A 14,603-nucleotide genomic window follows, 5' to 3' on the forward strand; every position below is an offset into this window, starting at 1 on the left:
AATCATTAGTTTGTAGCAATTACTCTTTATTCCAATATTATAATAATTCTTGCTCTACAATTATAACCTGGGAAAAGCCAGGCCATACAGAGATAAGAGCTGAAGGGACATGGTGAGAAGTGACCAGAAGATAATAGTGTGAGCCCTCTGTCACGCCTGGACAGGGCTACTAGAGGCCTCCTTGGTCTAGCAGTAATGCCAGTGTCTGGAAAGACACCCATTACCAAGCGGACCGTGGTCTAGCGGTAGCATCAGTGCCAAGGAAAAACACCTGCTACTTAGCAGACTGGGAAAGGGAGTCTCCCTTTCCCTCGGGGAGTTTAGAGAAGACTACTCCACCATCTCTTGTGGAGGGCCTGACATCAGTCAGGCCCACCCGCAGTTATCCGGCGGCCTAACCATCTCCCTGTGATGCTGTGCTTCAGTGGTCATGCTCCTGGTCTGCTTTCATGTTCCATCCTGTACACCTGGCTCTGCCTTCTAGATAGCAGTAGCAAAATTAGTGAAAGTGCTAAAAGTCTCTGATATGCAGAAATAATGGCGTAAGCTGTCTTCTCTCTCTCTCTCTGTCCGCCTTGGCTGCCCAACAGGGAAGGGCCCCCTGTCCAATGGACACGTGACCAATGTGACCTTACCTATCATTGGAGATGGCTCACACTCCTTACCCTGCCCCCTTGTCTTGTATCCAATAAATAACAGCGCAGCCTGGGATTTGGAGCCACTACTGGTCTCTGTGTCTTGGTGGTAGTGGTCTCCTGGGCCCAGCTGTCTTTTCTTTTATCTCTTTGTCTTGTGTCTTTTTTTCTACAATCTTTTGTCTCCGCACACGGGGAGAAAAACCCACTGACCCTCTGGGGCTGGTCGCTACAGCTCATGGTAACCTCAAACCCAAAAACATAAAATGGATACACAAAAAAATAAAAAGCAAGAAACTGGATGACATCACCAATGAAAATCACTTTCACTAGAGGAAGACAGGATGGAAATAAAGAAGGAAGAGAATATTGTAAAACAACCAGAGAACAAATAAAGTAGGTGGAGTAAGTTTTTACTCATCAATAACAATGTTGAATATAAATGGACTAAACTCTCCAGTCAGAAGACATAGCATGGCTGAATTGATGAAAAAACAAGACCTGTTAATCTGTTGCCTACAAGAAACACACTTCACCTATGAAGACACACAGACAGAAAATAAAGGGATCGGCCAGATGTGATGGCTCACGCCTGTAATCCAAGCATGTTGGGAGGCTAAGGCAGGCAGATCACCTGAGGTCAGGAGTTCGAGAGCAGCCTGGCCGATGTGGTGAAACCCTGTCTCTAATAAAAATACAAAAATTAGCCAGGCATGGTGGCAGGCACCTGCAACCCCAGCTACCCAGCTGAGGCAGAAGAATCACTTGAACTGGCAGGCAGAGGTTTCAGTAAGCCAAGATCATGCCATTGCACTCCAGCCTGGGTGACAGAGCAAACCTCCATCTCAAAAAAAAAAAAAAAAAGAAAGAAAAGAAAGGGATGGAAAGAGCTATTCTATACCAACAGAAACCAGAAAGGAGCTAGTTATATCAGGCAAAATAGATTTCAAGACAAAAACTATGAAAAGAGACAATGTCACTATATAATGAAAAAGGGGTCAATTCAGCAAGAGGATATAACAATTTAAAATATATATGCACCCAACACTGGAGCACTCAGATATATACAGCAAATATTAGAGATAAAGAGAGAGAGATAGGCTTCAATACAGTAATAGCTGGAGACTTCAACATCCCACTTTCAGTATTGAACATATTTTCCAGACAGAAAATCAACTTGGAAACATCAAACTTCGTTTGCATTATAGACCAAATTGACCTAATAGATAGTTACAGAACATTTAAGTGAAGAGCTACAGAATACACATTCTTTTCCTTAGCACATGCATCATTCTCATGGATAGACCATATGTTAGTTCACAAAACAAGTCTTCAGACATTCAGAGAAATTGAAATAATATTAAGCATCCTTTCTGACCACAATGTAATAAAACTAGAAATTAATAACAAGATGAATTTTGGAAACTGGACAAATACTTGGAAATTAAACAGTATACTCCTGAATAACCAGCTGGTCAATGAAGAAATGAAGAAGAAAATTGAAAAATTTCTTGAAACAAATGATAATGGAAACACAACATAACAAAACCTATGGGATACAGCCAAAGCAGTACTAAGAGGGAATTTTATAACTATAGGTGCCTACATTAAAAAAGAGGAAATACTTCAAATGAACAATCTAACATTGCTTTTAAAGAACTGTGAAAGCAAGAGCAAACCAAATCCAACATTACTAGAGGAAAAGAATAAAGATCTGAATAGAAATAAATGAAATTTTAATAAAAAATACAAACAACCAATAAAACAATATGGCTTTTTGAAAAGTTAAACAAAGTTGACAAAACTTTAGTCAGACTAAGAAAAAAGAGAGGATCCAAATCAGAAATGAAAATGAGACATTACAACTGATACTGCAGAAATTCTAAGGATCATTAATGAGCAACCATATACCAATAAATTGGAAAATGTAAGAGAAATGGGCAAATTTTGAGATACCTACAACCTACAATGTTTGAACCAGGAAGAAATTCAAAACCTGAACAGGCTAGTAATAAGTAATGAGATTGAAGCCATAATAAAAAGTCTCCCAGTGATGAAAAGCCCAAGACCTGATGGCTTTACTGCTGAATTCTAACAAACATTTGAAGATAAACTTAATACCAATCCCACTCAAATTATTCTGAAAAATAGAGGAGGAGGGAATATTCCAAACATTCTCTGAGGTCGTAATTACCCTGATACCAAAACCAGACAAAGACACATCAAAAAAAGAAAGCCACAGTCCAATCTCTCTGATGGATATTGATGCAAACATTCTCAACAAAATACTAAAACCGAGTTCAGCAATCCATTTGAAAGATCATTCATTATGACCAAGTGGGATTTTCCCTGGGATACAGTGATGGCTCAACATACACAAATCAATCAATGTGTACATCATATGAGCAGAACGAAGGATAAAAACCATACAATCATTTCAATTGACGCTGAAAAGATTTGATAAAATTCAGCTTCCCTTCTTGGTAAAAACCCTCACAAAGCTGGATATAGAAGGAACATACCTCAACATAATAAAAGCCAGATATGACTGACCCACAGTTAATATCATACTGAATGGGGAAAAACTGAAATTCTTTCCTCTGAAATCTGGAACATGATAAGGATGCCCACTTTCACCACTGTTATTCAACATAGTACTGTAAGTCCTAGTTAGAGGTCTTCCTTCTTTTTAAAAATATGCTCTTAGTACTATGGATTTACTTTTAAGCATTGATCTAGCTACATCTCACATTTAAAAAAATTATCTAGTTCAAAATGTTGTGTTTCCATTTTTATCTCGTTCAGAAGTTTCCCTTTTAGCTTCCTTTTTAGAACGATGGGTTATTTGGGATTGTTTAAGGATTTTTCAGCTTATCTTTCTGTTACTGATTTCTAGTTTCTTTCTTTTCTATTTTTAGTTATTGTGGTAAGATAACATAATTTTCATGATTTCATCTTTTTTTAATTATTATTATTATTTTTTGAGACAAAGTCTCACTCTGTTGCCCAGGCTGGAGTGCAGTGGCACAATCTCAGCTCACTTCAGCCTCCACCTCCCAGATTCAAGCAATTCTCACGTCTCAGCCTCCCGAGTAGCTGGGATTACAAGTGTGCACCAAAATGCCTGGCTCATTTTTGTATTTTTTTTTTTTAATAGAGGTGGGGTTTCACCATGTTGGCCAGGCTGATCTGGAACTCCTGACCTCAAGTGATCTTCCTGTCTTGGCCTCCCAAAGTGCTGGGATCACAGACGTGAGCCACTGCGCCTGGCCGATTTTATCTCTTATAAGTGTGTTGAGGTCTGTTTGATGGCCCAGAATAGGGTCTATTTTGGTAAATGCATCATGTGCACTTGAAAATATTGTGTATTCTGCCATTGTTGGATGGGGTTTTTAAATAAATGTTAAGTGAAATGGATTAATGTTTAAGAAAAACAGAGGCTGTGTGTGATGGCTCACACCCAGAATCTTAGCACTTTTGAGAGGCTGAGTTAGGCAGATCACTTGAGCCCAGGAATTCAAGACCAGCATAGGCAACATGAAGAGACTCCGTCTCTATAAAAAAATAGAAAAATTAGCCTGGTGTGGTAGTCCCAGCTAGTCAGGAGGCTGAGGTGGGAGTATTGGTTGAGCCCAGGAATTTGAGGCTGCAGTGAGCCATAATTGCACCACTGCACTCCAGCCTGGGCAACAGAGTGAGACCCTATTTCAAAAAAAAAAAAAAAAAAGAAAAAAGAAAACCAGAGCTAGGTAATATTAATAGTAAAGGTGGTAAAAGCAGATGTTACTTAGGAACTAATGCAATAGGGGAAAAGAAACCTCAATATAGAAGTGGGTTGGGTTCCCATGAGCATAGGCAAATGGGACTTTACAGCTAAGGAGCAGGGAGGGGGTCAGTGGATGGAAAGTTACTAACAGGAATCATCAGGGTTAGAGAAGATTGTGGTTAAACCAACTTGACAGGATTCTTGCTGAAGTCAGGCTACAGTGATCAAAGATGGAGGATTCTCAGTAAACTGACTTAGCAGAATTCTTGCTAAAACTGGATGATGCAGAGACAGACACAGAAACCCAAAAGGTTGAGGGCTAGTATAGTAAAGGGTTCAAAGGAGCCTCATTAAAGTTTGGTCAAGGCAAGATCCTTTTTATTTATTTTTTATGTTTTTGAGACAGGATTTTGCTTTGTCACACAGGCTAGAGTACAGTATACTGGTGTGATCACTGTTCACTGCAGCCTCAACCTGGGATCAAGTGATCCTCCCACCTCAGCCTACAGAGTAGCTGGGACCACAGGCGTGTGCCACCATGCCTGCCTAAAATTTTTTTAATGTTTTGTAGGAACGAGGTCTCACTATATTGCCCAGACTGGTCTCGAACTCCTGGGCTCAAACAGTCCCCCTGCGTTGGCCTCCCAAAGTGATGGAATTACAGGTGTGAATCACTGCATCTGACTATGGCAAGGATCTCTGTCACTGAGGTATTAAGTCTTCTGTATCCCTACTGATTTTCTGAGCATGTATTCTGATGACTGAGAGAGGTGTGATGAAATTTCCGACTATAATTATGGATTTGTCTTTCTCTTTTCACCAGTTTTTACCTCAGGTACTTTGATGCTGTTTTGTTAAATGCTTACATATTTAGGGTTGCTTATGTTTAGCTAGTAAGTTGAAACTTTTAATGTACTTATTTAGTTTGAGTAATATCTTTGTTTTATATTGTCTGATATGAATATAGCCACCCCTGCTTTCTTTTGATTAGTATTTGCATGCTTTTTTCATTGTGCTCTATTATCCTAAATAAGACATCGTTAGGAAAGGGTAGTTTTTGGAATGTTTTTACTTTGTGTGCCTTTTGTTATTTTAAATAACATTTTGATTTTAGAATGTATCATTTTATCAAATGTGACCTAAGATCCTTTAATTTTATTTTAAGGTATGAGGATATAAGTGTTCGTCACATAATTAGAAAAACTTTTGTATTATTACGTTACATTCTTGGAGGGAATCTGAAAGGTAATTTCCTGTGGATATTTTTTTGAATTTGAATGCTGAAATGCTGTTTTGCATCGTCTCAAACATGTACATATAATCTAAAAAAAAATTTAAACATCGAAATTCCTTCTTTTTAATGAATTATTTTTTGAAGTATGACAAACTTCTTCTTTAAGCAGCATGTCTTGAAAGTAATTAGTACTTTAATACTTTTATTATCTTTTAAGTTTAATGTAAATTGAAGCCACTTCCTTAATTTATGTCAAACAGCTTATTGCCAGCATGGGAGTGCAGATATTGTGTGTTATAGCTTATGATATCCCAAAGTAGAACATTTTATTCAGTGGCATGAGCTGGCACCATGGGCTAGATTATTCTAATTCATTTGGGTAAGTGAACTGCAGCTTAGAAAGTTCATGTACAAAAATGCACTGTCACAATTTCCTTTTGATTCTTTATAAGTAAGAAACTGGTTTTAGGATTTCAGCATCTTAATTTCTATTGTCTTTATTTCATGCAGGTAATTAATTTTCATCTTATTTTAAATTAAAATCTACCTACATGTCTCTATTTGTTTATTTGCTTATTAATAGAGAGTCTCCCTCTGTCCCCCGGGCTGGAGTGCAGTGGCATGATCATAGCTTACTGCAGCCTCGAACTCCTTGTCTGAAGCAATCCTCCCACCTCAGCCTCCTCAGTAGCTAGGAATACAGGTGTGCACCACCACGCCCAGCTAATTGTTTTAAAAAAGTTTTTTCATAGAGATGGGGTCTTGCTGTGTTGCCTAAGCCGTACCGACACATATTTAGATGCCTATGCTTTGTTTGTTAATTTTTTTTTTTTTAGAATTAAAATCTCATTTGAAAATATTTTGTCTCATGATTACTAACAGGTTGGTTCTGGAAGCTCAGGTTCTACATGTAAATGTACCTGCCTTAGTTCATCTTGTGTTGCTATAAGAGAATCTCACGGTTTGGGTAACTGATCATGAGCAGAAACTTATTTGACTTATGGTTCTGGAGACTGGAAAGTCCAAGAGCATAGTGCTGGCATCTGGCAAGGGCCTTTGTGCTTGTCATCTCATGGCAACAGGTGGAAAGATGAGAACAAGAGCAGGCCCATTGAACAAAACTACTCTTGTGATAATGTTATTAATCCATTCATGAGGGTGGAACCCTCATGACCTAATCACCTTTTAACAGTCCCACCTGTTAATACTGTCACGTGGTGTGTTAGTCCGTTCTCACATTGCTATAAAGAGGTACCTGAGACTGGATAATTTATGAAGAAAAGAGGTTTAATTGACTCACAGTTCCAAAGGCTGTACAGGAAGCATGGCTGGGGAGACTTCAGGAAACCAACAGTTATGGTAGAAGGTGAAGGGGAAGCAGGCACATCTTCACATTGTGGAGCAAGAGAGAGAGAGAGGAAAGGGTGAAGTGCTATACACTTTAAAACAACCAGATCTCGTGAGAACTCTCTCTCATGAGAACAGCAAATGGGAAGTCTGCTTCCATGAACTAATTACCTTCCACAAGGACCCTCCTCCAACACTGAGGATTACAGTTGCACGTAAGATTTGGGTGGTGATACAGAACCAAACCATATCACATGGCAGTTGAATTTGAATATGAGTTTTGGAGGGGACATTCAAACCATGGCATTTTGCTCCTCATTCCACAAAACTCATGTTCTTCTCATAAACAGCAGCCCCAAAAGTTGTTCCAGCATAAACTCAAAAGTCCAAACTCCAGTCTTATTGAAATCAAATAGAAAAATAAATAAATAAATAAATAAATAAACAAACAAATCAGATACAGTTGAAACTCAAGGTGCTATCATCCCAAGACAGATTCCTCTCCCACTGTGAGTCTGTGAAATTAACAAGCTATATGCTTTTTAAATACAAGTGGCAAAGGTATAGGAGAGACATTACTGTTACAAAACAGAGAAATAGATAAGAAGAAAGGGATAACTGGTCCCAATTAAGTCCAAAACCTAACAGCGAAAACATTGCTTTTTTTTTTTTTTTGAGATTGGGTCTCGCTCTGTCTCCCAGGTGGCTGGAGTGCGGTGGCACAATCACAACTCACTGCAGCCTGGACCTCCTGGGCTCAAGTGATCCTCCCACCTCAGCCTCCTGAGTAGCTGGGACTACAGGCATGCATCAACACACCTGGCTTTTTTTTTTTTTTTTTAACTTATTATAGAGGTTATAGCTCTCTATGTTGCCCAGATTGGTTGAAAGTAACCATGCAGCTCCTTCAGTATTTTGCTTAGAAATTTCTTCTGCCAGATATCTTAGTGCATTGAGCTTAAATTCTGCCTTCCATAAAGCCTTTTGGGCATGGACATAATTAAACCAAGTTCTTTGCAACTTTATAACAAGGATTGCCTTTACTCAAGTTTCCAATACCTTGTTCTTCATTTCTATCTGAGACCTCATCAGAATAGCCTTTACTGTCCATATTTCTACCAAGATTCTAATCATGATCTCTTAAGTTATTTGTAAGAAGTTTCAAACTTGGCCTACAGCTCATCTTCTGAGCCCTTAACAGAATTGTCCTAAGCTTTCCATTTATGTCAATCTAAGCTTTTTCTAGCCTGTTCCTCCAAATATTTCCAGCCTCTACCCATTACCTAGTTCCAAAACTACGTTCAGATATTCAGATATTTGTTATATAGCAACAGCCCTACTCCTTGGTATTGTGCTACTATAACAAATACCACAGGCTGGGTAATTTATAAAGAGAGGGTCTTCATCTATGGTGGAAGGTAGAAGGTGGAAAGGCAAGCAAGGGTGAAAGTGAGACAGAGAGGGCCACACTTACTTTTTTTTCCCTTTGAGACAGAGTCTCGCTCTGTTGCCCAGGCTGGAGTGCAGTAATGTGATCTCAGCTTACCGCAAACTCCACCTCCTGGGTTCAAGCGATTCTCCTGCCTCAGTCTCCCAAGTAGCTGGGATTACAAGCATGCGCCACCACACCTGGCTGGTTTTTCTATTTTTTGTAGACCTGGGGTTTTACCATGTTGGCCGGGCTGGTCTTGAACTCCTGACCTTGAGAGATCCACCCACCTCGGCCTCCCAAAGTACTGGGATTACAGGCATGAGCCACCGTGCCTGGCCTGGTGTTTACTTAGTTTTGTGGTAGATATTAATATTTAATATTTAAAAATATAATATTTTGTTTATGGGTTTGGGTCTCCTATCCTGGTTGCTCTGTATAGACATATGAGGAGTTTCAAAAACTATACTGCCTCTACCACAATATTTTTCAGGATCCTCCTGGGTTTTTTGTTTGTTTGTTTGTTTTGAGATGGAGTGTCACTCTCATTGCCCAGGCTGGAGTGCAATGGCGCGATCTCGGCTCACTGCAACCTCTGTCTCCTGGGTTCAAGCGATTTTCCTGCCTCAGCCTGCCAAGTAGCTGGGATTACAGGCATGTACCACCACGCCCGGCTAATTTTTTGTATTTTTAGTAGAGATGGGGTTTCACCATGGCCAGGCTGGTCTTGAACTCCTGACCTCAGGAGATCTGCCCACCTCGGTCCCCCAGAGTGCTGGGATTACAGGCGTGAGCCGCCCTGCCTGGCCCCTCCTGGGTGTTTTTTACAAAGTTAAATTTATTAAATTTAAAGGGCTGTCTTTGAAATTATGTACTGCTAAAATGTTCTTTAATTTAGGAGAGGCTGGTTTTTACAGATGGTAACTGCTCCTTCTTTTTAAAGTCCTTCCTTTATGAAAAATACAAACTTGGCAACAGTTTTATTTTGGAGATTTTACTAGGTTGTGAAATCTAGCATTTTGATGACCATTTATCTCCTCAGTTCCCTAAAGCAGGAAAAATAAGTGACTTCTCAAAGGTTACAGTGTTAATAAATGGCAGCACCTGTATCTAAATATTTATTTTATGATTCTACATGAATCATCTCTGAACTGGTTATAGGAAGTGACTGAGTGAAAGAGAACTCTGTTTAGAAAGTGTTTTACCAGGCAGGTGTGGTGGCTCATGTCTGTAATCCCGGCACTTTGCGAGGCTGAGGTGGGAGGATTGCTTGAACCCAGCAGTTTGAGACCAGCCTGGGCAACATAGCAAGACCCCATCTTTACCAAAAATTTAAAAAGTAGTTGGGTGTATTAGTCCACTTTCATGCTGCTGATAAAGACATACCCATGACCAGGCAATTTACAAAAGAAAGAGGTTTAGTGAACTCACAGTTCCATGAGGATGGAGAGGCCTCACAATCGTGGTGGAAGGTGAAAGGCACATCTCACATGGTGGCAGACAAGGGAAGACAGTGAGAGCCAAGTGAAAGGGATTTCCCCTTATAGAACCATCAGATCTTGTGAGACTTATTCACTACAACTGGAACAGTATGGGGGAAACCACCCCCATGATTCAATTATCTCCCATTGAGTCCCTCCTACAACATGAGGGAATTATGGGAGTTATAATCCAAGATGACATTTGGGTGGGGACACATCCAAACCATATCGTTCCACCCCGGCCCCTCCCAAATCTCATGTTCTCACATTTCAAAACCAAGCATGCCTTCTCAACAGTCCCCCAAAGCCTTAACTCATTTCATCATTAACTCAAATGTCCACAGTCCAAAGCCTTAACTGTTACAAGGAAAGTCCCTTCTGCCTATGAGCCTGTAAAATCGAAAGCAAATTAGTTATTTTCTAGATATAAAGGGGGTATAGGCATTGGGCAAATACAGCTATTCCAAAGGGGAGAAATTGGCCAAAACAAAGGAGCTACAGGCCCCATGCAAGCCCAAAATCCAGTGGGGCAGTCAAATATTAAAGTTCCAGAATGATCTCCTTTGACTCCATGTCTCACATCCAGGTCACGCTGATGCAAGAGGTGGGTTCCCATGGTCTTGGGCAGCTCTGCCCTTGTGTTCTTGCAGGGTACAGCCTCCCTCCCAGCTGCTTTCACAGGCTGGCATTGAGTGTCTGCAGCTTTTCCAGGCACATGGTGCAAGCTGTCAGTACTTACACCATTTTAGGGTCTAGAAGATGGTGGCCCTTTTCTCACAGCTCCACAAGGTGGTGCCCCAGTAGGAACTTTGTGTGGGGGCTCTGACCCCACATTTCCCTTCTGCACTGCCCTAGCAGAGGTTCTCCATGAGGGCCCCACCCTGCCGCAAACTTCTGCCTGGACATCCAGGCATTTCCGTACATCCTCTGAAATCTAGGCAGAGGTTCCCAAACCCCAATACTTGACTTCTATGCACTTGCAGGCTCAACACCACATGGAAGCTGCCAAGGTTTGAGGCTTGCACCCTCTGAAGCCATGGCCTGAGCTCTATGGTGGCCCCTTTCAGCCATGGCTGGAGCAACTGGGACACAGGGCACCAAGTCCCTAGGCTGCACACAGCACAGGACCCCTGTGGCTGACCCACTTTTTCCTCATAGGCCTCCGGGTCTGCAGTGGGAGCAGCTGCTGTGAAGACCTCTGACATACCCTGGAGACATTTTCCCCATTGTCTTGGGGATTAATATTTGGCTCCTCATTACTTATGCAAATTTATGCAGTCGGCTTGAATTTCTCCTCAGAAAATGGGATTTTCTTTTCTATCATGTGGTCAGGCGGCAAATTGTCTGAACTTTTATGCTCTGCTTCCCTTATAAAACTGAATGCCTTTAACAGCACCCAAGTCACCTCTCGAATGCTTTGCTGTTGAGAAATTTCTTCCGCCAGACACCCTAAATCATCTCTCTCAAGTTCAAAGTTCCACAAATCTCTAGGGAGTGGCAAAATGCCTCTAGCCTCTTGCTAAAACATAACAAGAGTCACCTTTATTCCAGTTCCCAACAAGTTTCTCATTTCCATCTGAGACCACCTAAGCCTGGACTTTATTGTCCATATTGCTGTCAGCATTTTGGGCAAAGCCATTCAACAAGTCTCTAGGAAGCTCAAAACTTTCCCACATTTTCCTGTCTTCTTCTGACCCCTGCAAACTGTTCCAACCCCTGAGTATTACCCAGTTCCAAAGTTGATTCCACATTTTTGGGTATCCACAGCAGCACCCCACTCTGCTGGTAGTAATTTGCTGTATTAGTCTGCTTTCATGCTGCTGATAAAGGCACACCCAAGACTGGGCAATTTACAAAAGAAAGAGGTTTAATGGATTCACAGTTCCATGTGGTGGACTCACAGTTCTACGTGGATGGAGAGGCCTCACAATCATGGTAGAAGATGAAAGGCACGTCTCACAAGGCAGCAGACAAGAGAAGACAGTGAGAGCCAAGCAATAGGGGTTCCCCCTTATAGAACCATCAGATCTCATGAGACTTATTCACTACCACGAGAACAGTATGGGGGAAACCACCCCCACGATTCGATTTTCTCCCACTGGGTCCCTCCCACAACATGAGGGAATTATCGGAGCTACAATTCAAGATGACTTTTGGGTGGGGACACAGCAAAACCATATCACTGGGTGTGGTGGTGCATGCATGCCTTTAGTCCCAGTAACTCAGGAGGCTGAGATGGGAGGATTGCTTGAGCCTGGGAGTTCAAGACTGCAGTGAGCCATGGTTGCACTACTGCACACCAGCCTGGGCAGTGGAGTGAGATCCTATTTCAAAAAAAAAGGGAAAGTGTTTTACCTTTCAGCTAACATGCTGGCTTAGGACTCCTTTCTGGGTAGTGTGAGAAATACTCCTTGGGAGTTTGGAGATAAGATTTTTGGCAGCTTCCTGATTATTAAGAATTCAGTGTCCAGTTAATTCTTGACTGTGATGCTGCCTCTTTTGAATTTGTTTTGTAAGAAGCTGAAAATGTCTCTGAATATATGAGGTGCTGTGAGAGCTAGGGAACTCATAAGGCATATGTATTAGTTTCCTACTGCTGCTGTAACAGCTGTAAAAAATCACTAATTGGGTGGCTTAAAACAACACAAATTTATTATCTTACGGTTCTGGAGGTCAGTAATGTGAAATAATTTTCACTGGGCTAAAATGAAAATGGCAGTAGGGCTGGGGATTTTTAGCATCTCTTAGGGAGAATCTATTTCTTGCCTTTTCCTGCTTCTTAGAGACTGCTTGCTGTTCAAATGAAATGGTGCATTTCCCCCAAAGAGGTGATCAATTAACACTGTATAGTCTATTCATGTATTCAATAATTTGAATTTTTTTAAGTGTAGTTAATTATTTAACCTATACAGAGTCATTGTATACTATCTCTCCTCATATCTGGGGTTTGGAAATGGTGGTGCAGCAGAACAGAGACACATCCAAGGTCTAAAACATGAAGTGTGTGGTGTGTGTGTTTGTGTGTGTGTATGTGTGTGTGTATTTTCACAAGTGGAAGTGGGGTGAGCTGGAGGTTATTGAGTCTCAGGCACCACAGAATCACTGTTGACATTTGTTGTTATTGCAACAAGGAACTCCTTTAGTCAGCATTGAGGGAAGTAGGCTGGCAATCTCTTTAAGTTGTGTACCAGGATAGGAGAGACTATCTTGCACTTATAACACCCAAATAATTTTTGGTGTTTCACTCATACAGAGTTTGGCTTAGAGATTAAAGCTCCTTCTATCTTGTGATGCCACCATCGCAAGGTTCTCAAGGTTGTTGTGGGAGAAGAGAAGGCTAAAGGAGCTCATAGAATGCCTTTAATGGTAAGTCCTGAAATTCGCTTGTATCACATCTGCCCACACTACTTTGTCTACAATTCAAGTGACCAAAATATAAATAAGGCTAGGAAATATGATTTTCCTGCACATTTAATAGGAACTGCTATGGTTATAATCCAACTAGGATGGGGATTTGGAAAGGGATAGAGTAGAAGAGGAAATGATGGTTAGATCTCATCTCTTTTCATTACTCCAGCAAGATTTTTACCCTGCCTTGACAGTACCATTTGGCACTTGCTGCTTGGGCTATTGCTGTGGATTTCTGTATTGGTGGGACAGACAATGATTGACCTAAGGCAACATCAGGGACTTAAGAACCATACACATTACACATTTTTCTCTCACCTATTCTTTCAGCATCACCAGTGTCTACCTTTCACCTGAGGTGGCCCCCAACCCTATTTCAAGACAGTTGACACAGATTTCTTGAAGTTTTTGGTTGGTTCCTCAGGTCAATGATTTCTTTCTTTTCTTTTTTTTTTTTTTTTTTTTTAGTAGTTCCAGGTGGATTTTGGGGAAGAGAACTGACAGCCTTTTGCAGTTCATTGTCTTAAGGGGAACTGGACACCTTCCTGACTTCTGATTAAAACATTTTTAGGACAAAAACTCCAACCTTACCTTACCTAAAAAACCGTTTAGTTTCTTGTCCTCGTAAATAGAACAAACAGTTTATTGCTAGGGTCTAGGGATGATGGTAGTGACATGATGGCACCATGACCCAGAGAATAGCAGAAAACTTTGTATTGGGTTACCTATGAAATGTAGTTCTTTCTTTAGGAAGCAAATTATCTTTCTTTCAACCACTGATACTATCTTTATCTTCTCTCTTCAGGTTGGGTTAAAGGTCTGAAACAATAATTAAAAAATCAACTTATCAAAAATACTTTGCTTCACATTTTTCGTGTGTAATTAGTGTTGCAAGGCACCCAAAAGAAGAAATACTGAAAACAATTTGTGGCCAGGCACAGTGGCTCATACTTGTAATCCCAGCACTTTGGGAGGACAAGGCGGGAGAATTGCTTGAGGCCAGGAGTTTGAGACCAGCCTTGTCAGCATAGTGAGACCCTGTCTCTAAATAAATGAATAGATTTGATTTGGTAAAATAAGTATCCTGACCAATAAAGAAAAGTTAATAGATTGAAAATGGTAAAGTTTCTAAAATAAGTCAACAATTTCATCAAACATCTTTACTGTATATAGCTTATTTAAACATATATATACTTTTCTAGGTATTGTGCAAAACAGGCACTAGAGACATGAATGAGTGCATTGTTAAATTTATAAATATTATTAAAAGATTAATTTGTGTGTGTATGTGTTTGAGACGGGG

General features: G+C 40.6%; 1 protein-coding gene across 13 annotated transcripts in view; it reads left to right on the forward strand.

The window, feature by feature from the left end:
* The window catches only part of MIPOL1 (mirror-image polydactyly 1), a 354,425-nt gene that overhangs the window by 16,644 nt on the left and 323,178 nt on the right, over positions 1-14,603 (forward strand). For 3 of the 13 annotated variants that reach the window (NM_138731.7, NM_001388071.1, NM_001388074.1), the window contains exon 2: positions 13,146-13,258. The exons of 7 other annotated variants lie outside the window; for them this stretch is intronic. The gene's annotated coding sequence lies outside the window, so the exon portion shown is untranslated. Of the gene's footprint in view, positions 1-4,972; positions 5,112-13,145; positions 13,259-14,603 lie in introns of all 13 variants that reach the window. 3 more of the 13 variants (NM_001195296.2, NM_001388068.1, NM_001195297.2) reach the window with 2 other exon arrangements.

Source organism: Homo sapiens, chromosome 14 (genome assembly GCF_000001405.40).
Source record: "Homo sapiens chromosome 14, GRCh38.p14 Primary Assembly".
Classification (NCBI taxonomy): domain Eukaryota; kingdom Metazoa; phylum Chordata; class Mammalia; order Primates; family Hominidae; genus Homo; species Homo sapiens.